The sequence below is a fragment of the Homo sapiens genome, chromosome 7, assembly GCF_000001405.40.
Source record: "Homo sapiens chromosome 7, GRCh38.p14 Primary Assembly".
Classification (NCBI taxonomy): domain Eukaryota; kingdom Metazoa; phylum Chordata; class Mammalia; order Primates; family Hominidae; genus Homo; species Homo sapiens.
Window position 1 is genome coordinate 157,853,963 of NC_000007.14, and position 26,414 is coordinate 157,880,376.

The 26,414-nt window shown below is 56.8% G+C and overlaps 1 protein-coding gene and 1 long non-coding RNA gene across 11 annotated transcripts in view, besides 1 other annotated feature; one reads left to right on the forward strand and one right to left on the reverse strand.

Moving 5' to 3' along the window:
* PTPRN2 (protein tyrosine phosphatase receptor type N2) overlaps window positions 1-26,414 on the reverse strand; it is a 1,048,768-nt gene that overhangs the window by 314,907 nt on the left and 707,447 nt on the right. The gene's annotated exons all lie outside the window — the stretch shown is intronic.
* PTPRN2-AS1 (PTPRN2 antisense RNA 1) lies at window positions 623-12,130 on the forward strand. The gene is made up of 4 exons (NR_038966.1): window positions 623-913; window positions 1,965-2,168; window positions 3,328-3,586; window positions 8,583-12,130. It is a non-coding gene; the product is annotated as a PTPRN2 antisense RNA 1 (long non-coding RNA).
* Window positions 19,911-20,746: an enhancer, noted in NCBI's record as "H3K4me1 hESC enhancer chr7:157666565-157667400 (GRCh37/hg19 assembly coordinates)". NCBI's record gives its function as "activates a minimal SCP1, AML or CMV promoter by ChIP-STARR-seq in primed H9 embryonic stem cells {active_cell/tissue: H9 hESC(primed)}" and the evidence as "EXISTENCE:reporter gene assay evidence [ECO:0000049][PMID:30033119]".

Consider the following 26,414-nt stretch of genomic DNA (forward strand, 5'->3'; position numbering starts at 1 on the left):
ACGGCACCCACAAGCCGAGGAGAGAGATCTGGGACAGATTCTTCTCCGAGGGCCTCAGAAGAAACCAGCCCTGCCCACACATTGACCCTGGACTCCCAGCCTGTGAGTGGTGGGCGATGAATCTGCGGTTTGCGCCGCCCCGTCTGCTATGCTGTCACAGCAGCCAAGGCCACTGGCTCTGTGCATTTCCCTGCCTCCGCCTCCCTCTCCCATCACTGACGATGCAGCACTGACTCCCTGGACAGGGCCTACATTGGGTGCTGCTGATGGCGAGACTGTCATCCCCCGACATGAAGGCAAGGGCTGGGCTCAGAAGCCTGGATACCGTGGCTGCCTCTGCCCCACCCTCAGCTCTGGGACAAACCTTCAGTCCCAGCCTGTCTGCCCACGTCTCTCCAGCTGTGCAATCGGCACACCCACGTCCACGTGGCTCCTCATGGGGCCAAAGAGCAGCCGTGGCCAGGAAAGCAGTCAGAGAGGCCCAGGGTTGAACCCAAGGTCACTGCCCTTGTGGTTGAGCAAAATGAAGACAGTTCCTCTTCTTAAATCCGGCTCTGTGCCTATGAAGACGGAAGCAGCAGCATTCCGCTTGCAGGTTTTTGAAAAAACAAATGGGGCAAGAGAGGCCAGGACCACGCCTGACTCAGGCGATCGGACGGGCAGGGAGGCTGCAAGGCATGGCATGAGCAGGTGGAGCTGTCAGGACTGCCCCAGCCCCTGGCTCAAAGATGCCCGACCCCAGGACCCTGCCTCGCTGGATGGTGAAGGCCAACTTCCCCTCTGTTGGAGCTGGCCTGGGCGTTGTGGGAAGGGCTGGGAGGAGGCCCAGGACAATGCAGAACAGACAGGACGTTTCACAGAGCAGGCTGCCATGTCCCTCGGGGCCTTGGGGGCTGCTGAGGCCCTGAGAAAGGTATGCATCGGGGAGGCTGGCTGTGCTGTTGCAGGGATGTGTGTGGGGCTGGATCGGGGAGGATGGCTGTGCCGTTGTAGGGGTGTGTGTGGGGCTGGATCGGGGAGGATGGCTGCACCATTGCAGGGGTGTGTGTGGGGCTGGATCAGGGAGGCTGGCTTTGCTGTTGCAGGGGTGTGTGTGGGGCTGGATCGGGGAGGATGGCTGTGCCGTTGCAGGGATGTGTGTGGGGCCGGATCGGGGAGGATGGCTGCACGGTTGCAGGGGTGTGTGCGGGGCCGGATCGGGGAGGATGGCTGCACCATTGCAGGGGTGTGTGTGGGGCCGGATCGGGGAGGATGGCTGCACCATTGCAGGCGTGTGTGCGGGGCTTGCTGACTCTCGTGCTCTGCGGACGCCCAGGGAGCGGCCCCAACCCACGCGCCGGCTTCTCGAGCTCGGCCTCTTAAGTGACAGACTCAAACACCTGAGCAACAAGTTTCCTGGGGTCACCTAATAACGATTATTTTAACAACAGTTTCCAAACAACAAACAAACCCATGGAGCACGAAACCTCTGGGGACCTTTTGAAGCTAAACGCTGAGTGGTGCCGCTTCTTGGGGAGCTCAAGGCCAGCAGGGTCCCTCCTACAGCGACCCTGGACAGTGGTTTGGGGATTCACTTGATACAAGTAATTCTCTAATTAGGATAATCTGGATGCGGCCTGCTGTGATGTAGTGATGGGGCTTCCCTGGAAGGGGGGATGTCAGGAATAGCCCTCACTGCATAGAGCACATCCCGGCGGGAGCGTTAGAGCTGAGGGATGCCTGTGGCTGAGCCGAGGGAGAGCCGGAGCCAGGAAAGCCACTGATTGGGCCCAGGGGGGCGGCGATACAAAGTCACTTTTAGAGGATGAGGAAAAGATGAAATGAACATCTAAAAACTAACGCCCTCTATGATTTAATGAACTTTCCTCTCTCTAAAAGTACTCTGGTGATTATTTCAGGGACAGCCACCCAACTGCACGGCACCATCATTTTTTCTGATACTGAGTTGATATTTTGCCCTACAGGTCACTGGAGGCCTGGCCGGAAGTGCAGGGTTATCTCAGTACTTGATTTAAGGCTCCTGCAGCTGAAAAGCTGCCCCACACGGCGGACCGGGTGGAGGAAGTCAGCTGTGCTGCTTAACCGTGGAGTCTCCGTCCCGGTCCTGCTCACCAGCTCTGCAAAGGCCTTGTCCTCCCTGCCTGATTCTCGGCACCATTTTTAACACGGTGGGATGTCTTGGATTTTTATGATAATAATTTCAGTATATGTTCAACCCATGGAAACATTTCATTTGGAAAGATGTGAAGTGGGTTAGAAAATGTCATTTCCATGCTTTTTAGAGTCGTGACTGTGGATGACTTTATAGGAGACCCAGTTGTCTGAAACATTTCACACGGCAATGAAACTATTTCCAAATATTCATTTTCAAAATGTGCCACAGCTGGCTGTTTTTTGTTTTCGCTTTTCAAGCACACACATTTTCTCACACACAGCTCAGATGTCTATTTTACACTGAAGGTTTATTTTACTGGGGAGTGTTTGCTGGGGCGTCCCGTTCCCACCACAGGCCGGTGCCTCCGAGGCTCAGCCTTCAACCCTCTTACATGAGTTTGCCGCAGACAACCAGCAAGCCGTGTGTGGCACACAGTTCTACTGGTTTCTCCTGGCTTTATTACAAAATGTATCACAAAGGTTAACTCACAGTAGTGCAAAGGTCTCATTTTTATAAAATGGATAAAGTGACAAAATACATTAAACATACAAAATTCACTTCTTGCACACTGAGCTTCAGGTCCTTGCTGTGCTGCAATGATGTGTGGGGTGGATTTCATATGACCTGCTGGTTCCCTCACCTCACCCAGAATCTTTTTCGTATGTCTGTCAGTCAAAGTGGTCACTTCATCCATAGTTATTCCAATTTTTAAAACTTTTTTTGACCTGTTAAGTATTGCTTAGCAATGAGTGTACACCAAGAAAGGTTTGAACAACCTGTACATTCACCCAACTGTGTAGCAGACTTCCACGGCTCATGATTTATTCTCAAATTTTTCTCCAAATTTTTAGCAGCATCTTCTATTTATCTTCCAAGCATTGCTGACAAGGGAGGTGGCCAGGTTTGCAAAGCTGCAGTGCCATCAGCTTGGGCGCCATGAGTGGGAGTCACAGCCGGGGCCACAGCACGAGGGCATGGCCATCGGCATTGCTGGTGGAGCTGGGGATGCTGGAGGGGGAGGGAGGGGAACGCTGGATGGGGAGGGAGGGGGACGCTGGAAGGGGAGGGAGGGGGATGCTGCAGGAGGAAGCTGGGGCTCTGCTGTGCCCAACACTGAAGCTGGGCCCGTGTGGGGCGGAGAGTTGATTTCACCGTTCCTGTTTTCCCTCAAGCCTATGGAGAGGCCACGTTGAGTCCAGAGGTCCGTGCGCCTCATGGCCACATCACGGCACCCGTTCACCCACACAAGGGCCAGGAGCATCCCCTAGGGAGGAGGAGATGGCAGATCTGCACAGGCTCTGCGCTCCTCTCTCTCCGGAGCGTCCTCTCCTCTGTGTGGCAGGCTCGGCGCGTGATGGAGGAGCCCCTTCTGCAGGGCTCTGTTTAGAGGGTGCCCGCCCCACAGCCTGTGGCTGCTCCTACTCATGCCAGGTGAGGCTCCTACACCCACCAGTGGCCACCGGGGAGTCACAGCTCCTTCTGCATCATCCGCCTGACCTGTTTCCTCATCTGGGATGACAACCAGATCCAGCTCTGAGGTCCGTGCCCTGAGTAGAAAAGTTCACACAGCAAAGTTTCCGGAGCCTTCCCTGACGCGCCACGTGTCCGTCCATAACTGGTCATCCTCCACATCCTGTGAGGCACGTCTCAGCACCTCTTCGTGCAAGCGCCCGCACTAGACGTTTGAGAAACAGATGTGAGCAGGCGTGGTCCTGACCTCCATCCCGAGGTTGGGGGTGGAATCACAAAGCAGGAGTGTCTGCCAGGAGCACGTGTGCCCACACAGCAGGCCTGGCCCCAGTGGCTCAGATCAGGAACAGACACGTACTCAAAGACGGCGGGTATGAGAAAGCCTTGTGAGGGAAGGGAGCCCTTTGTCGGGGGGCCTGAAAAGAAACACGGCCTTTGCTGGTTCTCTGAGTCAGCCCCCCAGCTACCACCCACACTCCTGCAGGGAGAACCCCGTCACCACCCACACTCCTGCAGGGAGAGCCTCCCAGCCACCACCCACACTCCTGCAGGGAGAGCCCCGTCACCACCCACACTCCTGCAGGGAGAGCCTCCCAGCCACCACCCACACTCCTGCAGGGAGAGCCTCCCAGCCACCACCCACACTCCTGCAGGGAGAGCCCCGTCACCACCCACACTCCTGTAGGGAGAGCCCCGGCCACCACCCACACTCCTGCAGGGAGAGTCCCCCAGCCACCACCCACACTCCTGCAGGGAGAGCCCCAGCTACTGTACACACTCCTGCAGGGAGAGCCCCAGCCACTGTACACACTCCTGCAGGGAGAGCCTCCCAGCCACCACCCACACTCCTGCAGGGAGAGCCCCCCAGCCACTGTACACACTCCTGCAGGGAGAGCCCCGGCCACCACCCACACTCCTGCAGGGAGAGCCCCCCAGCTACCACCCACACTCCTGCAGGGAGAGCCCCGTCACCACCCACACTCCTGCAGGGAGAGCCTCCCAGCCACCACCCACACTCCTGCAGGGAGAGCCCCCCAGCTACCACCCACACTCCTGCAGGGAGAGCCCCCCAGCTACCACCCACACTCCTGCAGGGAGAGCCCCCCAGCTACCACCCACACTCCTGCAGGGAGAGCCCCGTCACCACCCACACTCCTGCAGGGAGAGCCTCCCAGCCACCACCCACACTCCTGCAGGGAGAGCCCCCCAGCTACCACCCACACTCCTGCAGGGAGAGCCCCGTCACCACCCACACTCCTGCAGGGAGAGCCCCCCAGCTACCACCCACACTCCTGCAGGGAGAGCCCCCCAGCTACCACCCACACTCCTGCAGGGAGAACCCCGTCACCACCCACACTCCTGCAGGGAGAGCCTCCCAGCCACCACCCACACTCCTGCAGGGAGAGCCCCGTCACCACCCACACTCCTGCAGGGAGAGCCTCCCAGCCACCACCCACACTCCTGCAGGGAGAGCCTCCCAGCCACCACCCACACTCCTGCAGGGAGAGCCCCGTCACCACCCACACTCCTGTAGGGAGAGCCCCGGCCACCACCCACACTCCTGCAGGGAGAGTCCCCCAGCCACCACCCACACTCCTGCAGGGAGAGCCCCAGCTACTGTACACACTCCTGCAGGGAGAGCCCCAGCCACTGTACACACTCCTGCAGGGAGAGCCTCCCAGCCACCACCCACACTCCTGCAGGGAGAGCCCCCCAGCCACTGTACACACTCCTGCAGGGAGAGCCCCGGCCACCACCCACACTCCTGCAGGGAGAGCCCCCCAGCTACCACCCACACTCCTGCAGGGAGAGCCCCGTCACCACCCACACTCCTGCAGGGAGAGCCTCCCAGCCACCACCCACACTCCTGCAGGGAGAGCCCCCCAGCTACCACCCACACTCCTGCAGGGAGAGCCCCCCAGCTACCACCCACACTCCTGCAGGGAGAGCCCCCCAGCCACCACCCACACTCCTGCAGGGAGAGCCTCCCAGCCACCACCCACACTCCTGCAGGGAGAGCCCCCCAGCCACCACCCACACTCCTGCAGGGAGAGCCCCGTCACCACCCACACTCCTGCAGGGAGAGCCTCCCAGCCACCACCCACACTCCTGCAGGGAGAGCCCCGTCACCACCCACACTCCTGTAGGGAGAGCCCCGGCCACCACCCACACTCCTGCAGGGAGAGCCCCCCAGCCACCACCCACACTCCTGCAGGGAGAGTCCCCCAGCCACCACCCACACTCCTGCAGGGAGAGCCCCAGCTACTGTACACACTCCTGCAGGGAGAGCCCCAGCCACTGTACACACTCCTGCAGGGAGAGCCTCCCAGCCACCACCCACACTCCTGCAGGGAGAGCCCCCCAGCCACTGTACACACTCCTGCAGGGAGAGCCCCGGCCACCACCCACACTCCTGCAGGGAGAGCCCCAGCCACTGTACACACTCCTGCAGGGAGAGCCCCCAGCTCTGCAGCACAGACCCCAGAGACAGCATGCGGCTTCGTGATTCCTGTGGAGCAGAGTGGGGACAGCCTGCTATGGAGCAGCAGCCCACTGGGGGAGCCTCGAGACTTGCAACGACCCAGACCCAATTCCCTGAGGCCCCAGCCTGTGGTGGCAGGGCCCACAGCCTGCGATCTCTGCATACCCTGGATTTCAGAGGTCACTGCAGTCAGGCCACCTGAGGACACACACCTGAGGGTGGTGCCCAAGCCAAGACTCTCTCTAGGGATGTCCACGTGACCCCAGAGAAGCAGCCCACCCCACAGTCCACCCACAGCCTTCGCGCCTCTCCAGGAGCTGGGCCACTTTTCACACACAGGATCCACGTCTTGGTTATTATCGAACACTCTTGGAGCTTCCCAAGACTGCAGTTTTAAAAGAAATGGCGGAGTTGGCAGTATTTGGAGGTAGTAATGAATTTTCATCTTTGTTCTCCTATAGGAACGTTTCAGAGCTGAGTCCACATATCTAATTGAGTGCTGTGTGAACGCGTTTCCACGCTGGAACTAGATACCACTCCATGCAAATCTCATTTCTGTTCTTTAACGATGCCTTTTAATATCTAATCTGGGCCTTAATATCTCGCTCACTAAACGTGTTGAGATAATTAGATGATAGAGCTAGACAATTACTCTGTGGGTAGAGAGCAGACAGTTTCTTATATTTATACAAATACACATAGTTAAAATGAAACAGAACTGGCAGCATTCACGGTCCGTCCAACCAGGGAAGGCCACTGACGGCCGGGGCTGGTCAGCTCAGGCAGCAGCTGGCCGGGTGCATTTCTATTTCTAGTTTTTCACGGAACTGACCAGGCAATTCAGTCAGTAGCTGTCAAAACTGGAGTCCAGAACAGGCACAGATGGGCTGGCCCAAAGTTAATTAAAAACCAAGAAGAGGATAAAGAAATGTGGCCCAGTCCAGGGAGCTGTGGAGAGGTGGGGGGCAGGGTGACCTTCTCTTTCTTGTGGGGGTTGGAAGAGGAACCCCACGGCACAGCGGACACCATGTGGGACCCCAGCACGGGCGCTTTGGGATGTCGGCAGAGGCACGCATGCCTCCAGGGATGTGCCAGCTCAGGGAGGCACCCTGTGCGTGCTCCATGGTGACACTGCCCCACGGGGTCCAAATGCTGAATTCCTGTACCTTTTACATACGTGAAGTCTATACAATAATGGAACCGAAGCCCTCTGTGGGGAATCCGTGGGAGGATGAGAGGCCTGGATTGCACCGGAAGCACCTCCGGCTGGAGCTCGGCCAAGGAGCCCGGGTCCCTTCAGTCTGCGCTCCCTGCGGTGGGCAGTGGCTTCTGTGTTTTGCCGTCGAGGTGCAACATGCAGCTGGTGATGCCCTGTGGCATCTGCCTCCTGCCCTCGGACATGCTGGCCCGCCCTCCCTGAGTCTTGCAGGGCCCAGCCGCTGTGCCTCTGTGTGGCCTCCCCACCTTACCTGCAGACACGCTCCCTGTACTCAAAGCCGAGCTGTGTGAGGCTTTTGGGGCTGCCAGAACAAAGGACTCCAGACGGATGGGCTTGAAACAGTGGATGCCTGCAGTCTCACAGGCTGGGTTTGGAGACCTTGCTTGGAGGTGTCTGCAGGGCCTTGAAGGGGACACCGACCCTTCCTGACTCCCAGCCTCTGCGTTGCCAGCAGCCCTCGGCCCACAGACACAGCGCTTCCCTCCTGCCTCCGAGCCACGCAGACGGCTTCCCTCTGCATGCCGGAGTCTGTCCTCTCCGTCGCAGGGACACGGATGCTTCGAGGACTCTGTGTGCCGGAGTCTGTCCTCCCCATCACAGGGACACTGCTGCTTCGAGGACTCTGTGTGCCGGAGTCTGTCCTCCCCATCACAGGGACACTGCTGCTTCGAGGACTCTGTGTGCCGGAGTCTGTCCTCCCCATCACAGGGACACTGCTGCTTCGAGGACTCTGTGTGCCGGAGTCTGTCCTCCCCATCACAGGGACACTGCTGCTTCGAGGACTCTGTGTGCCGGAGTCTGTCCTCCCCATCACAGGGACACTGCTGCTTCGAGGACTCTGTGTGCTGGAGTTTGTCCTTCCTGTCGCAGGGACATGGCCGCATCAAGGACCTACTGCAGCACGGTGCCTCCTTCACCAAGCGAACTGTGTCTGCAACAGTCCTATGTCCACGGAAGGTCCCATTCTGAGCTGCCGAGGTCCAGGACTTCAACATATCTTTCTGCGGAGACAGTTCAGCCTATAGCATTAGCTCATGTGCCCTCTGTTAGGAAGTTCCCTGACAGACTTGAGCCCACGGCTAGGGGATTCCCTTCTGAACACAGAATGTCTTGCTTATTTCACACGTGTGCTAATTTGCTGTACACCACCGGCTTATTTAATTGTTGTGCATTTATTGTATTTCTCCACTAGATTATTTACTAACTGGGGTCAGGATCCATGACTTTTTAACATTGATATTCATCTCTCTTTTTAGAACAGAAATGGGTGCCCAGCTGGTCAACATACATTTGTTACCTTGCTTTAAAATGCCTTGAGAGTGGAACCACCGGTGCAGGCTTGGCTGGTCAAGAATCATGTTCTAGAAATTATTTCCAGTGCTGAGCACAGTCCCTGAGATTTAAAAACGCTTATGGGATGAATGGAAAATAGCAGGGCCTCTTACCGGCCTGCAACGCCTTTAGAGGCACGGATGCCACGTGCACAGACCCAGCTCCGGGAAGCACAAGCCTGGTGGTGTGCGGGAAGCGGCGAGGTGCGCGGGAAGCGGCGAGGTGTGCGGGAAGCGGCGAGGACCGGCTTTAAAGTCACAGCAGTTTCCTGAAAGATGAGGGGGAGGAGGACAGTGACGCTCACAGCACAGCCACTTGTCAACTTGGACATGACACACACAAAGCCCAGAGCTCGGACGGCACCGCGAGGAGGCTGGGATTCACGTCAGGCGGCACTTGGTGGGCAGTTACAAGAAAGGACGGCAGCCAAGCCAGTGCCTCCTGTGCTCCGGCTCTGGGGCCCTGGACACACCTGGGGATTCAGTTTTGCATGGACCAGCATTCTCCAAGCGCTCTGATCAGTCTTACAGGAGAAGTAGGCTGTGTGGTCTGGGAGCCTTGAGAAGGTTCCGCTGTAATCTGTCAGACTTTTGGACAGGATTTTTCTGCCTTACGTGGCTGATGTACGTCTGCAGGAGGGTAGCACACGGCACCCTCTCGGCCTGCTGTGCCACAAAACCTTTGCTTTTACAGGTCTCACGGAGCCAGTGGGCTGCCCAATGCCCCAGTGCAGAGTGGAGACGAGGTCTTCCCCTCCTTCCCAGCTTGCCTGGGCGGCGACGCGTCTCAGAGACCTCTGCCAGGGTCAATCCTGGCCCATGCTACTAGCTCGGGGTGTGAAGTCACAGTTGATGCTGAACACCTGGCTGGGCCAGACTTGTGCCCAAGAAACCTTATACCACCAACTGGTTTTCAAAAGAAAAAAATTAAAAGTAATTCAAAACTTTGAGATATAAATATAATTCTTTAAAAACTGCAGCGTGGTTCACTGGCCCTGTGATGGGCTGAATGCGCCCCCAAGTTCATGTGGCAGCCTTGACCCCCAGGACCTCAGCGTGTGGCGTCTTGGAGACAGGGGCTTTACAGAGGCGATGAAGGTAAAACAAGCTCTTATGGCGACCCTGACCCAGCAGGACCGGTATCCTTATCAGAAAGGGATATCTGGACACAGAGACAGACGTGCACGTGTGGAGACACCTGAAGATGAAGATGGCATCTACCAGGCGGGGGAGTGGCCTCAGGAGAAACGGGCTCTGCCCACGCCTCGACCTCGGACTTCCAGCCTCCAGAGCCGTGTGAAAAGAAACTTCCATCATTTAAGCTGCCCTGTCTGTGGGACTTTGCCTCGGCAGCCTGAGCAGACAGTACAGGCTCCAAAAACGCTCTCTGCATGTGTGATTCTGGCCAGGACCACCCTGCCCGAAGCCACGGCTATGTCGAAGCTAATTGTGCGATTTCTGCCGGCCACGTGGTTTTGATCCAAAAGCATTTGAAAGCTGCTCTGAAGATGCAGAAAAGCTGAGTCCCGGCATCGCTGCTCCTTCCAAGCGACTGTTCACACACAGGGTGTGAGTGCGTCCCCCCATCCAGGGTCCAGCCTGGCCTAAGGCTCACTGGGCACCATCCAGATCTGTGACTGGGTCCCCCCATCCAGGGTCCAGCCCACCCGAGGTTCACTGGGCACCATCCAGAGGCCCCAGATGCCGACACCTGGGGACGGGCTGTATCAGGCAGATGTTTCCTCCCGGGCTCCACCTGGGGACGGGCCCCGGATGCTGACACCTGGGGATGGGCTGTATTAGGCAGATGTTCCTCCCGGGCTCTAGTTTTCCAGGCCGACAGGAGGAAGTCCTGTTGGGGCCAGGGGAGGCATTGGGGATGAGATTGAGAGGATGGTGGGGTCGCAAAGGTTTACATTGCCTGTGCCACTTTCTCCAAGGTCTGGGGCCGCCACCCTGTGGTGCCTCTGGAAGCTGCCATGTGGGGCTGGCCCACGGTGACTGGCCACGGCGGGGCTGTGTGTGGTATGCACCTGTGAGCTGCTGAAACGCAGCCTGGCGGCCAGGAACCAGCTGCCCCATCCTCTCTGCAGGAGGTCAGGTTTGAGCACGTATTCCCTCAAACGCTCATAGACGTCAGTATCTCAGGACAAAGTGCTTGTCTGAGACCCAGGTTTGGGCCCCAAGGTGGTACCATCGAGGGAGGCATGTTCTGGCAGGTGACAGCCCCTCCTCTGTGCCTGAACCTGCAGTTTCTGCCCCCGCATAAAATGCCGCCATCTCAGGCCCTCCCTGACCCCCAACCTGCACAAGGGCTCACAGCTGGCAGGCACCTGTGTGGGGTCGTGGTAGGACCTGTGTCTCTGAGGTCCAGCCCAAGGCTGTGCCACATAGGCCCAAATCCAAGCACTCCCCTCCTGGGCACGTGGCTGTGTGTGCATGTGTGGCTGGGTGGGCAGGGGGGTTGACTCTGGCCACCGAAATGGAGAGGAGCGGTGCACTCCCTGGGTCTGGCCCACGCAGGCTCCTTCCCAAGTGCTGCTGCCGGGAAATGGAGGTCCCTAGGTGAGACGGGAGCCGGGCACTGTGGGGGTGGCCCCTGAGGGGCTGCAGGTTGGCACTGCCCAGCTGACGCATTCCGCAGTCCTGCACCAGGGGATGAACGAGGAATCGGCTTCTGCTCTGCTGAACATCCCACTGGTTCATGTCCACTTGTTTGGGTGATCCTAACTGATCTGCTACCTGAGTTTGAATCTCAGCGCTATTATTAGTCAGGGGTCCTGGAGGTGGGTGACCCCACCTCACCTAAACCACAGAGATGCTCATCCTCATGCATGCACACGTCCATCTCAGCTTCAGCTCGCAAGCAGGACCCTCACCGTGGGGCCACGACGGACCCTGCAAAGCTGGTCTGACTGTGCCGAGCCTGTCGGGGGTTGGGGGAAGGAAGGCGGGAGCTCGGCATCTGGAGGGCAGTGGAGACCCTCAGCGAGTGCCAGGAGGATCTGCTGTCTTCCCAGTGTTGTCTTCACAGTGGAGAGATGAGTTCACACAGCCTTATCTGTGTTTCCAGTGGCCTCTGTGTGCAAGACGGGCCACGGGTTTTGTGCGGTATTTGCCTGTGGGTCACAGCCAGGTGAATGGGCCCTCCTGGGGCTGCAGCCCCAGGTCCTGATGTTACTTGTGCCAGCCTGGCCACAGTGCCCGGCCTCCAGAAGCTGCTGTCAGAGGAGCAGACGGGAGGGCAGGGTGGACGGTTAACAGGGTCAAGGCCCCAGAGCCCCACACCCTCCCCAGCAGCCAGCACACCCTCTGTTCTGTGACCTCGCCCCTGCATTGCGGCAACTGACAGATGCTCCCCGGCCTCCTTCCCCGCTGCCGCGCAACCTCTGACAGCCACGTGTACTCTCCTGCTTTAGAACAAGGACCTTTCCCTTTTGTGCATGAATACGCTCTCAGCAGATGCGAGAAAATGGGAGTCAAATGCACCTTTGTGGTTTCTTTTCCTTCTACACAAACACCACTTGAGTGAGGCCCGGGTTCTGCAAAGGGAAAGTAGTCGTCACTTTCTAGGCCCCACCATGAGCCGGGGCTCAAATCCCATCCTGGCCTGCTGGGCATTTGTTTCATCAATTAAGAGTCAGTGAGCAGGAAACAACATTGCATATTCACACAAACACACGTGCATATCCAAATACACATACACACACATGCATATGCAGAGTTATATACATATATAAGCACACACATACACATGAGCACACACACGTCCACATGTACACACATACATACATATGCATGAGCACACACACGACCATATGTACACACACGAACATGCACGATCACACCCATATCCCTCGTGTACACACACACACACATACACACAGTGCTCATGACCTACTAAACAGCGCATGTGCCTCTCAGCCCTTGCCATGACAACCATGAGGTCTGCAGGAAACACGTCCATAGAGGTGGAGCTGAGGCTGGTGTGCATTCTCCCAGGCACCCAGCATGAGTGCCCAGCTCAGGGTCTGCACCGAGGCTGTCTGGCCCGAGTCCCAGGCTCGCCCCAGTGCTTGCCACACACACCCTGGGGTCTCCTCAGAAGCAGTGCCTGTGCCCCGAGATGCACGGCCACCACCCCGCCCCTGAGGCCCTGGATACACGGCCACTACCCCGCCCCCGACGCCCTGGATACATGGCCACCACCGCCCCCCCCCGACGCCCTGGATACACGGCCACCACCCCGCCCCCGACGCCCTGGATACACGGCCACCACCCCGCCCCCGACGCCCTGGATACACGGCCACCACCCCGCCCCCGACGCCCTGGATACACGGCCACCACCCCGTCCCCGACGCCCTGGATACACGGCCACCACCCCGTCCCTGACGCCCTGGATACACGGCCACCTGGATACACGGCCACCACCCCGCCCCTGACGCCCTGGATACACGGCCACCACCCCGCCCCTGACGCCCTGGATACACGGCCACCACCCCGTCCCTGACGCCCTGGATACACGGCCACCACCCCGCCCCTGACGCCCTGGATACACGGCCACCACCCCGCCCCTGACGCCCTGGATACACGGCCACCACCCCGTCCCTGACGCCCTGGATACACGGCCACCACCCCGTCCCTGACGCCCTGGATACACGGCCACCACCCCGTCCCTGACGCCCTGGATACACGGCCACCACCCTGTCCCTGACACCCTGGATACACGGCCACCACCCCGCCCCTGACGCCCTGGATACACGGCCACCACCCTGTCCCTGACGCCCTGGATACACGGCCACCTGGATACACGGCCACCACCCCGCCCCTGACGCTCTGGATACAGGGCCACCACCCTGTCCCTGACGCCCTGGATACACGGCCACCTGGATACACGGCCACCACCCCGCCCCTGACGCTCTGGATACACGGCCACCACCCTGTCCCTGACGCCCTGGATACACGGCCACCACCCTGTCCCTGACGCCCTGGATACACGGCCACCACCCCGCCCAGACTGAAGGGTGACACCAGAGGCAAAAAGAGTGAACTAGATTCACGTAAATCAACATGAATAAACTTCAAAACAGAACAGATGGAAAGACTGGAAAAGTCCACGCACTAATGTTCATTCAGGCAGAAAGAGTGAGGGTCCCTCCCAGAATCCAGTCCAGGGAGACTCCTTCTCTTCCTTTCTGCATGGGCCCGAGGAGCTGGTCCCTAGACTGCTCAGATCCAATCCACAGTCCGTGAGCAAAGGGCCGCAGGCGTGGTGGAGGTGTGCCCAGGCCCAGCATGCCCCCAGAGTCCACAAGAGCAGGACTGGGGGCACCGTGCCTGCGCCAGCCCAAGCTGCCCAGACTTCCTCTGGACAGCAGGCCTCCTGAGCCCTGGAGATTAACTCACTGCCGCAGGTAGGATCACCTGAGTCCTCTAGGAACCCAGCCCGCATCCTGGGCAAGAGGCCCACATGCACCTTAGAAAGGGCCCGAAACAGTTCACGAGTGGGGTGTGGGCTGTGGGTCCAGACACAGTTATCCTAAGGCCAGGCACAGGAAGGGTTCCTTTCCCGATGGCTCCGACAGCCCAGTGGTGCACCTACAACTGCTTCCCATCGAGGTGGTGGGCTGGGACTCGGCAAGCCCATCTGAACAGGGCTCTCTGCAGGCAGCCCCAGGCCTGGAGTTTGCCAAGTGATGAGTTTTCCTGTCTGAGCTTGTTTCCATCATCTCCACGATGAACGTAGGACACCAGGACATTGGATCTCTGCGGGGCAGCAGCTCATGGCCCAGCTGTAGGAAAGCAGACCCAGCCTCTGGATTAAAACCATGCCTGGAGGAAACTGGCCTTGTGAGTGTCAGGGCTGCGCTGCTGTCTTCCAGGTCCTCCCTGGTTTAATTTAGCAAAACTACCAATGCCAAGAACTGGTTAAATTTTTTAAAGGGAAGAAAGTATGACACATGGAGAAAAAGGTGCAGCCCATTTCCCAGCCTGAGGACTGGCCGGGGAAATAACTCTGAGCCCTCGAGATGAGGGGCTATGCCTTCCCTTGCTCACTCCCTCCCTCACCCACCTGCCCACTCGCCCATCCACTCAACAGCGGTCGTTCTTCATTGTATTGTGAGCTCCCTCTGGGCTGTGCACTCCGGGCCATGCGTGGCTGGTAACTGGGAAATGCTCGACATGGAAAATTCTGCTTGATCATCTGAGATGCCACCTCAGTCTTGGGGAACTCAAGGCCAGGAGGGTCACACAACCCATTTAGCATTGCCTAGCACCAGTGGTGAGGCCAGGCCTCCCGCGCCCTCCATCTTTCTGCCACCACAGTCGTTTGGGGACTCAGTTCCATGTAGAACCAGATGAAGATTCATAAAGGCCAGTGGGATAAAGACTTCCCAATGTCCCGAAACACCCTGACACGTGTAATTCCAAATCTGTAAGTACTAAGTTTTAAAATGCGTGTGAGCAAGTCAAATTTCTGATGTTTCCCTGGATGACAAGATGTTTTCTTTATTAAAATATCAAGGTCTTTCTACAAATCTTTCCTGATACCTCAACTTTGCCAGGGTCCTAAGCGTGTGCTTAGGTACTTGCAGAGCCTCCCAGCATGGGAGGTCTGGGTAGGGCCTTGGAGGCCTGCTGGGAGGTCTGTGGACTCCAGGCCGCTCACTTATCCCCATGCATATAAAATTCCTAGGGATAATTTCATTTGATGACAGAGTTACACTTAATGCCAAAGTAAAGAAAAAGTTTACATTTTTCCTGAGTTAGCAGACAAATATAAGGGGACTTCAAAAAGTTCACAGAAAAATTGGATTAAAAGGTAAAAATAAAAATATAAACTTTATTTCTCAACATAATCTCCACCAGGGCCAAGACACTTTTGCAAGGGATCAAACCCACCATTTAGTCCATTCCCAAGGCACTGAGGACCTTGGGAATTTAGCCACATCAATGCAGTCTTTTTCCCATTACTATCTAAGGAAAAATGGGTACCCTCTGGATATATTTTAAGAATGGAAAACAAAAAGAAGTGAGAAGGAGCCAAACCAGGACTGTAGGGGGATGCCTCATGAGTTCTCATCGGAACTCTTGCTAAATTGCCCGTGTTTGATGAGAGGAGTGAGCTGAAGCCTTGTCCTGGTGGAGAAGGGCTCTCTGGTGAAGCTTTCCCAGGCATTTTTCTGCTAAAGTTTTTATAACTTTCTCAAAACACCCACATAATAAGCAGATGTTATTTTTCTCTGGCCCTCCAGAAAGTCAACATGCAAAATGCCTTGAGCATCCCAACATCTACTGCCATGACCTTTGCTCTTGATCAGTCTGCTGTTGCTTCGATGGGACCCCTTCCGCCTCTCGGTAGCCACTGCTGTGGTTGTGCTTGGTCATCAGGATGGTACTGGTAAAGCCATGTTTCCTCTCCTGTTGCAATTCTTCAAGGAAATGCTTCAGGATCTTGATTCCGCTGTTAAAAATTTCCATTGAAAGCTCTGCCCTTGGCTGCAGCTCATCTGGGTGCAATGGTTTTGGAACCCATGGAGTGGAAAGTTTGCTCAACTTTAATTTTCCAGCCAGAATTATGTAAGCTGAACCAGCCGAGATGTCTATGGTGTTGGCTGCTGTTTCTGCTGTTAATTGTTGGTTCTCTCCAATTAGGATATAAACAAGGTTAATTTTTTCCTTGCAAATTGATGAGGGGGTCTGCCACTATAGGATTCATCTTCAATATCATCTCATTCTTTCTTAAAATGAGTTCTCCATTTGAAAGCTGCTGATTTCTTTGGGGTGTTGTCCCTATAAACTTTTCATAAAGCATCAATGACTTCATCATTGTTCCACCCATGTTTCACCACAATTTTGATGTTTGTTCTTCCTTCAATTTTAGCAGAATTCATGTTGCTCTGATAGGGGCTCTTTTCAAACTGATATATTCTCTTCCTAGCCTTAAACTAGATCCTGTTCAGACATGTTACAACAAGTTAGTATGAGTTTATTTTGGTGCAGAAAGATTTTTGAAATCCATGCATAGTTTTCCATGATCCACATTTTCCATGGACCTTCTTCAGAATCTCTTCCATAACAAGCCTGATGGCTGCTTGGGGTGCTGGCTGAACTCAGAGTAATGCCTGTGAGCCGCCAGGAATCCTGCTCTGGGGCCAGGAGCTGCATGGCCTCGTGCCAGCCTCCCGCACCTGCACCCCCACCTTGATCCCCCAGAGCACCTGGGTTGCGTAAGGGGCTGCACACCACAGTCATCTGTTTCTTAAAGTACTTTGATGTTGATCTTTCTGTGAGACTCTGGAAGTGGAGATAGCTTTGGGTTTATTGGGCGTTCGATGTTGGGGATTGGATGGCCTGGCTCAGAGATGTTGAAATGTCCCCGACCTGAAGGCTCTTGCAGTGCTGGTGCTGGGGGCGCTAGGCCATGAGCTGCACAGCTGGGGTAGGGGCCTCAGGGCTGCCTGGACTTCCTTACGAAGAAGCTGGCTCCCAGAGCTTCCAAAGTTGACGGTTCTGAACTAGGCACCAATCTTTCCTCTTTTCTCAGCTGGGGAGGCCCAGTTGCTCAAAGCTGTGGTTCTCAAAGTGGGGTCCCCAGACTGGCAGCACCCAGGGAGCTTGTTAGAAACACAGATCCTTGGGCCCTGCCTCGGACCCCCTGAGTCAGAGGTTCTGGGGTGAACCAGCAACCTGTGTGTTTACAAGCCCTGCAGGTGATTCTGATGCAGGCTGACATATGAGAACTGTGGGCCTGGGGGATTTGGGTTGTTCTGCTTATGGGAAAGGGCAGGCGTGACCTCTGAGAGAACTTGTAAGATGTGAGAGTCCAAAAGCTTCCTCTAAATTGGACTCAAGGTCGCGTTCATCGGCAGCTGTGATGTAGGAGGCACCCTAGGTGTTTGCCAATGGCATTTGTCTCTATTGGCCGACACCACCCCAGGGCCCCTGAAGAGCAACCGGGACTCACTGGCACAACTTCACCCTCCTCCTTTTATTTTTTTTTGTAATACAAAGGCTTGAGGTACAGTATTATTTTTGGAGGGATTTTTTCCTATTATAAACTAGTAATGTCTTAGGGTTAACATTTCCCTAACACACATATACACATACATACACATATGCCTTCCCACACATATGCACACATACACACACACACACAGACCCCTAAATACCTACACACCCACACACCCACAAAAATGCACACACACCCATGTCTACACATGTGCACTCAGCTCCAGAACACAGGATGTGGCCACGCATACCCAGCACCTCCCCACACACAAATACCCAGCGTCCTTCCCATACCTGCATACCCAGCACTTTCCCACACACATACCCAGCGCTTCCCCACACACACATACCCAGTGTCCTCCCCACACACACATACCCAGTGTCCTCCCCACACACACATACCCAGCGCCTCCCCACACACACCCAGTGTCCTCCCCACACACACATACACAGCGCTTCTCCACACACACATACCCAGCGCCTCCCCACACACACCCAGTGTCCTCCCCACACACACATACACAGCGCCTCCCCACACACACATACCCAGCGCCTCCCCACACACCCATACCCAGTGTCCTCCGCATACACACATACCCAGTGTCCTCCCCACACACACATATCCAGTGTCCTCCCCACACACACATACCCAGTGTCCTCCCCACACACGCATACCCAGTGTCCTCCCCACACACCCATACCCAGTGTCCTCCCCCCACACACATACCCAGTGTCCTCCCCCCACACACATACCCAGTGTCCTCCCCCCACACACATACCCAGTGTCTTTCCCACACACACATACCCAGTGTCCTCCCCACACACGCATATCCAGTGTCCTCCCCACACACGCATATCCAGTGTCCTCCCCACACACGCATATCCAGTGCCTCCGCACACATGGATACCCAGTGCCTTCCCACGCTATGTCCTCACAGCTGTTTCCCCTACCCAATGCCCATGTAACTGTGTCCTGACACTTGGTGGCCTCCTTGGTTTCCCGGTATAACTAAGCACTGAGAGGCGCTCTTGCGCCCAGGCCGCCTGTCCAACTGGGGCAGGCTCCATCTTGCAGGAGGTAGAAGGAGGGTGCAGAGTCCCTGAGGCCCTCAGTCCACATGCCCCTCCTTGGAGTGTCCCCTCCCCGCCCTGTCAGGGCTCCTGAGAGTTTCCTCAGCTTCCTGGCGGGGTAGAGGGGTGACGGGTGCTTTCTGTGTGGGCCCTGTCTGCTGCTGCCTCTCCACAGCTCCCCTTCAAGGGCCACCCATGTCCGCAGGCCACCTCCCCTTGCTGGGAGCACTCATTTCCCAGGTGGTGCTTGTCCTCTTCCTGGGACACTTTTCTGTCTGCACTAGAACTTGACAGAGGAAGCCACAAAGCTTCCTGGCCATGGAAAGTGGGAACTGGCCACGGAACAGGGGAACTGCCCCTGGCCGTGTATGTCCCTCACCCGAGCCCTGTCTCCTAGGCTCTCGCTTCCATTTTGCACTGAGACCTCTGCCTCATTCCCTCTGACCGGGCCTCTTGCCTGCCCTGAAGTCCTGCTTCCTCGCTGCTTGTGGGAGGGGGAGGCTCCGACTGTCTCTCCTTTATCCACCAATGTTTCCGCCACCAGCGAGTGCTGAGCAAGTATCTGTTGAATAAATGAATGTGCACCAGGAAAGAAAGCAGCCGCCTGGCCTGACCTCGTCTGAGGCTCTGGATGGGATACGCTTCCCAGTTTGCTCGCTTCCCTGGAGAAACCCCCGGAGGGCCGCGCCCCGAGGCTTTGCTCCGACGTGTGCCAAGGACATGTGCTGGGAGCGTCTGCAAGGTCCGTCTCGCCGTGGGGGCCGGGAGGAGAACGTACCGTCCTCAAGGTCCGTCTCGCCGTGGGGGCCGGGAGGAGAACGTACTGTCCTCAAGGTCTGTCTCGTCGTGGGGGCCGGGAGGAGAACGTACTGTCCTCAAGGTCTGTCTCGTCGTGGGGGCCGGGAGGAGAACGTACTGTCCTCAAGGTCTGTCTCGTCGTGGGGGCCGGGAGGAGAACGTACTGTCCTCAAGGTCTGTCTCGTCGTGGGGGCCGGGAGGAGAACGTACTGTCCTCAAGCAGAATTTCCTGCGCTGGTCTCTGGGATGGGCAGAGGGCCCTGCTTTCAGGTACTGAGGAGAGCGCAGCACTCGGCATCACACTGGGGGCACAGGTCAGCAGGGGGCACCTGGGAGAGAAGAGGAGGTGGAAAGCGGAGGAGGAGGGATGGACGACCAGCTGGGCACAAGAGGGGCTTCAGGGCACGGCAGGAGGGCCGTCCGGGGAAAGTTGTTTCCTGTCCCACTGACTTTGACGGCTCTAGGTCTGCCACAACTCCGGCAAAGTCCCAGGACCCTGAGCAGCCTCGGGAAGAGCTCTCGGGACCTCGGGGGAGTGAGGTGGCCCAGGCCTGGCACAGCTCAGTGGTGGCACGTCACATCACACATCTTCAGACCAGGCCTTCTGCAACGATTCTCTGGCCTCTCTGCTGCTCTGCCTAGCTCCAGCCTTGTCCTGCGGAAGGTGCTGAAGCGGCCCTCAGTCTGCCTCTGGCCTCCCTCTGTTTCCCCCTCCACAACTGGGCAGGCTGCTCCCTTCACCCCAACACTCCATGGCTCCCCATGGCCTGCAAATCAGATCACAGCCCCTAAGCCTGGACTGCAGTGCTCCACTTGGCCTCGCCCACCTCTCAGCCCATTTTCAACGTGACACACGCAGGTGAAGTGGACCTGACCCAGCTCCTGCTTTCTGCCCCCTCCTGTCCCCTCTCTCCTGCCCTGCCCCGATCCTGCCTCTGCTTCTGTCCACATGGCCCCAGCCACAGTGCCTTCCTGCCAGCCAACCATGTTCACAAGGAAGTTCATGTCCCCCTTAACTCGAGCTTTTATTTCAGTGAAGCTTCGGGGTCACCTGCACGGCCTCTCGTGAGTAGGGGGATTTCCTACTCGCTCCACAGACAGCTCCCGGGGTCCGGGGAGAAGCGGAGGGGGGCAGAGAAGGCCGTGCCACCCAGCAGCACAAGGCAGGGGTTTGCTTGCAGGTAGCAAAGTAACCCAAGCAGACACACACTCATGCACACACACACAGAGACACACTCATGCACATACACAGACACACACTCATGCACACACACACGAACACACTCATACACATATACACACAGAGACACACTCATGGACACACACAGAGACACACTCATGCACATATACACACGGAGACACACTCGTGCACATACACACACGGAGACACACTCGTGCACATACACACACACTCATGCACATACACAGAGAAACACTTGTGCACGGAGACACACTTGTGCACATACACAGAGACACAGGCACACACAGGCAGACGCAAACGTGCATGCACACAGACACACAGACACACGCAGACACACACACGCGCACACACAGACACACACACACACACGCTCACTCACAGGCAAACAGATGCCCTTGGGTAGACTTGTGGTCTGACAGCCGTACAGGAAGTATGTCCCAGGAGGAGCCCAGGCTGTGTCGGGGTCACCTTGACTTCACTATTTTCGAAATGCTGAATTTTGCTGCAAAGTTTTCCTAAAGGGCTTGGAAACGGTCCAGACCGTGCTGTCCTGGAAGTCTCCTGGGGGCTCCTTCTTCAAACAAGAGAAAGCTGGGGAGTTTCCAGGCGTTCCGTGAGAGCCGAGGGAGCGCGTGAGGGCTTCCTCCTATCAGCGTCCGTATTCATGGTGGGAGGTGGCAAACCTCTATCGGCAGTTTCTGATAACCTTGCTCCGGGTCACACGTTATCTTCCTGAAGTGGCAGCCACGGAAGCTGCAATTCAGGCACCAATATCAGAAAATGAGTCATTGCCGGGAACTTCACTGTGCAGTCCCAGAAGTCTTAATTCCAGCAGACAGGGTGACTCCAAAGGGAGATCGTTCCAGCCACTTCCAAGGTGTCTCTTTCTCCATCTCTTCTTGCAGCCCTGATTGTGGGGCCATGGCCTGTGCAGGAGGCGAGCAAGTGTGACCCCTGGTGGCTGCAGCAGCAGCAGCACCTTGGGCCTCGGGGGTCAGGAGGGGCTGAGTCCCCAGGTCAGGCATCCCCAGGGGGGCACGGGGCTGCAGAGGGTCAGGAGGGGCCGAGCCCCCAGGCCAGGCATCCCCAGGGTGGGCACCGGGCTGCAGAGGGTCAGGAGGGGCCGAGCCCCCAGGCCAGGCGTCCCCAGGGCAGGCACGGGGCTGCAGAGGGTCAGGAGGGGCCGAGCCCCAAGGCCAGGCATCCCCAGGGTGGGCACCGGGCTGCAGAGGGTCAGGAGGGGCCGAGCCCCCAGGCCAGGCATCCCCAGGGCAGGCACGGGGCTGCAGAGGGTCAGCAGGGCAGGTATGCCTTGGCCATCACCACTGCAGTGGCCTAGAGGTGTTCCTGGCTGTCTCCATCTGGGGCAGCACCTGCAGCTCCTTGGACAGTGTCAGAATTCACGACTCCTTGCAAACAATGCAGTCCACGCTCACCCTCCCTCCTCTCCACGAGACCTCAGTGCCCTGGACCATGGACTGGGTGCCCGAGTGGGCTCATCCAAGCCCTGTTTTTGTGTTGGTCTCCTGTTGTGACCCATCCCCTGCTATTTCTGCTGGGCCTGAGGTAAGGCGGACAGGGCTGACCCTGAAGGCAAAGCATCCTGGGGGCCACTCTTCTGGAAGCGAATTCCCAGCATGGAGAAGCCTGAATTAACCAGCAGCGGCCCCAGGACAGAGTCTGTCACCAGAGCCTGGAGACAGGATGGGTGGCTGTGTCTAAAGCCACAGCATTTTCTTTTCCTGTGGCAAGTTATCCCTTTCCTTAGAAAAAAGTACTGTTGGATGCTGACACCACCACAAATAATCTAGTTCCTTGGCAGGTCCTCTCATGAGTAAACGGCCCTAGAAGACGTTTCTCCCAGGAAGATGCACAGACGGCCAAGGCAGGCAGACGGCGGCAATCAGCAGCTTCCACGTCCACCAGGGTGGCCTTGGGAAGACCAGCGCCCCCACGTGGGGCTGGGAGAGGCCGCACTGCACCCCAAGAGTGAGGATGGGTCGGGGGCAGCGGGAATGGTGCTCTATGGGGCTTCACATGGCCCCTGCACCCCAGGGCGGAGAACTTTCTAAGAGGGAAGGTCGGGGCAGCTGCTGTGTGGGTGCCAGCAGCCACCTGGGGACAGTGCCAGCACGGGGGCATGCCGGGGGAGCCTCTGGGAGCCGCAGGAGGCACTAGGGACACGCAGCTCGCCGGCCCTCCAGGAGGACGACGTTCTGAAATGGGCCTTGATGCCCTGGACGGCCTCGCTAGCCTTTACCCACAGGGGAAGGTGCAGGATGTGGCAGTCCCTGGAGGAACCCCAGGCCTGAGTGTGGCACCAGGGTTTCCTCGGGGACCCCATATCTGAGTGCAGCACCAGGGTTTCCTCGGGGACCCCGGGTGCAAGTGCCATGGTCAGGGTTTCCTCGGGGACCCCGGCTCCGAGTGCCATGGTCAGGGTTTCCTCAGGGACCCCAGATCTGAGTGCAGCACCAGGGTTTCCTCGGGGACCCCGGGTCCGAGTGCAGCACCAGGGTTTTCTCGGGGACCCCGGGTCCGAGTGCCACACTAGAGTTTCCTCGGGGACCCCAGATCTGAGTGCAGCACCAGGGTTTCCTTGGGGACCCCGGGTCCGAGTGCAGCACCAGGGTTTTCTCGGGGACCCCGGGTCCGAGTGCCACACTAGAGTTTTCTCGGGGACCCGAGATCTGAGTGCAGCGCCAGGGTTTCCTCAGGGACCTTGGGTCCAAGTGCCATGGTCAGGGTTTCCTTGGGGACCCCAGATCTGAGTGCAGCGCCAGGGTTTCCTCGGGGCCCCGGGTCCAAGTGCCATGGTCAGGGTTTCCTCGGGGATCCCAGGTCCGAGTGCCCTACCCAGGGTTTCCTCGGGGTCCTCTCTCCTCCCCTCCGTGCACCCCGCCCACGTCACAAAGAGGAAGGTGATGTCTCTGGACCCAGCATCAAAGCCCGGGTCTTGGTGGGTGGTGCAGAAGGTGTTCCTAACAGTGGGCTGGGGAACAGCCAACCCTCCCTGTGGGCCTCAGAGCCAGGTCTCAGGAACAGGCACTGCACAGCTGGGAGCAGCAGGGACAGGAGAGGAGGGAGTCTGCTCAGAGACGTCTTCTTCAGAAACCACATTCCCCAAGCCCTTCGCCAAAATCATCAAAACATCCCACGATCAGCTCTGCTTGACCGGGGAGAAGAGGAACAGGAAATATGTCAGGGGTGAGATTTTAAAATGTGTGTGAATATAAACATTCAGCTCTGTAACATAATTAACAGCGCCCCAAGGAAAATCCCGCGTATGTCAGTAGGAAGCGTTCTTGATGCGGAGCGAAGGCTACTTGGCGGTGTTCCGGCTCTCTGACTCTGAAGGGCCTGCCCGTGTTCCTTCCTGAGGCTCAGACAAGCCCATCTCAGCTTTGCTGTCTAGGAATTTATAAGTGTAAGAGAGCAAAGATTCAGTTCCCCAAAAGATACCCTCTTGGTGGCCTGTGGTCCACGGGAGACCTCATGCACCAGGGATCCCCGTGCTGGGCCGGCCAGTGCTCAAGAGCACGGACCCTGAGGCTCCTTAAAGGGGCTGGAAGGGTCAGTGTGATACCGTGCACCCACACTTACTCACCGAGGAGCTCTCGGATTCCGTGGGGCTGGAAGGGTCAGTGTGATACCATGCACCCACACTTACTCACCGAGAAGCTCTCGGATTCCGTGGGGCTGGAAGGGTCAGTGTGATACCGTGCACCCACGCTTACTCACCGAGGAGCTCTCGGATTCCGTGGGGCTGGAAGGGTCAGTGTGATACCGTGCACCCACGCTTACTCACCGAGGAGCTCTCGGATTCCGTGGGGCTTGACGGGTCAGTGTGATACCGTGCACCCACACTTACTCACTGAGGAGCTCTCTCAGATTCCATGGGGCTGGAAGGGTCAGTGTGATACCATGCACCCACGCTTACTCACTGAGGAGCTCTCTCAGATTCCATGGGGCTGGAAGGGTCAGTGTGATACCATGCACCCACACTTACTCACTGAGGAGCTCTCGGATTCCATGGGGCTGGACGGGTCAGTGTGATACCGTGCACCCACACTTACTCACCGAGGAGCTCTCGGATTCCGTGGGGCTGGAAGGGTCAGTGTGATACCGTGCACCCACACTTACTCACCGAGGAGCTCTCGGATTCCGTGGGGCTGGAAGGGTCAGTGTGATACCATGCACCCACACTTACTCACCGAGGAGCTCTCGGATTCCGTGGGGCTTGACGGGTCAGTGTGATACCATGCACCCACGCTTACTCACTGAGGAGCTCTCTCAGATTCCATGGGGCTGGAAGGGTCAGTGTGATACCGTGCACCCACAATTACTCACCGAGGAGCTCTCTCAGATTCCATGGGGCTGGAAGGGTCAGTGTGATACCGTGCACCCACACTTACTCACCGAGGAGCTCTCGGATTCCGTGGGGCTGGACGGGTCAGTGTGATACCGTGCACCCACACTTACTCACCGAGGAGCTCTCGGATTCCGTGGGGCTGGAAGGGTCAGTGTGATACCGTGCACCCACACTTACTCACCGAGGAGCTCTTGGATTCTGTGTTTTCAAGCCTGCCCATGTGTAGGAAAAGCACAGCCTCCATGAGAACAGCAGGAACACACCCCCCAACACGCACACCCAAACACACACGCATGCACGTGCATGTGCACACACACACACTCGTGCACGCACACGTGCACGCACACACACACAGAGCAACGTCCTGCAGCTCCCATCTTTTCTTTTTAAAATCATACATATTTCATTAAGCTCCATGCAGAGTGTCTTCTGATTTATGGTAATTGTCAACAAAAGCAAAAACACAGACAATTTTAACCCTGCAGTAGCTGGGAGTTAACCGGCATGAAATCATATTTTTTTTTTCCTTTAAAAAGGGAGGGGGCTCCAAGCACTCCCTTGCATTAAACTCTGAGGATGCTGAACCAAGAGAGACAGTGTGAACCCCAGCATTGGTGGCTGTTGTCTAAGAGGCCCATGCCAGAAGCGACATCTGATAGAGTGGCCACCTCACCCCACGTGAGCCCGGCTTACTCGTGGCCTGGAGGACTTTGAGTGAGACTAATTTCCATATCAAACCCAATTTAGATGAAACGTCTTTGTTAAAAAAAAAAAAAAAAAAAGCCAGAGCTTCAATAGCCCCTTGATTAGATTTTCATCTCCTGAGCAGACAAATATGAATATTTATTACCATGAATGCATATTTTTCTCTTTCCATTGCTCTGATCTTGAGTATTATCCACTGCTAATTTTTATGAAAATTTGGGCAACATAATGTTTTCACATAAACTGACAGTCCTTGAGATAATCCCGTTATTGTCTGGTTGAAAATGACAGCTTCCGCTTATTCATGTGTTAACGAGGGATTAAATATTGTTTTTCATCCCCGTAATCTAAGACGGACTGGAAATTAAAAATTGAACATTGTATATTAGCAGGGCTCTGAGGACCAGAATTTGTTTGCGTTCACTTAGAGACGATCTGTAAATTAGCAGCTTCACAATCAGGCCCTGTGATGTTGCTGCTGAAGGTAGCATCATAAAATGCCACTGACATTTCTAAAATAAATTCATTACTCTACCCGCCGCACACCAAAATGAAAAGGCTTCTATCAGGAAATACATCGCAAAGGAAAAGACAACAC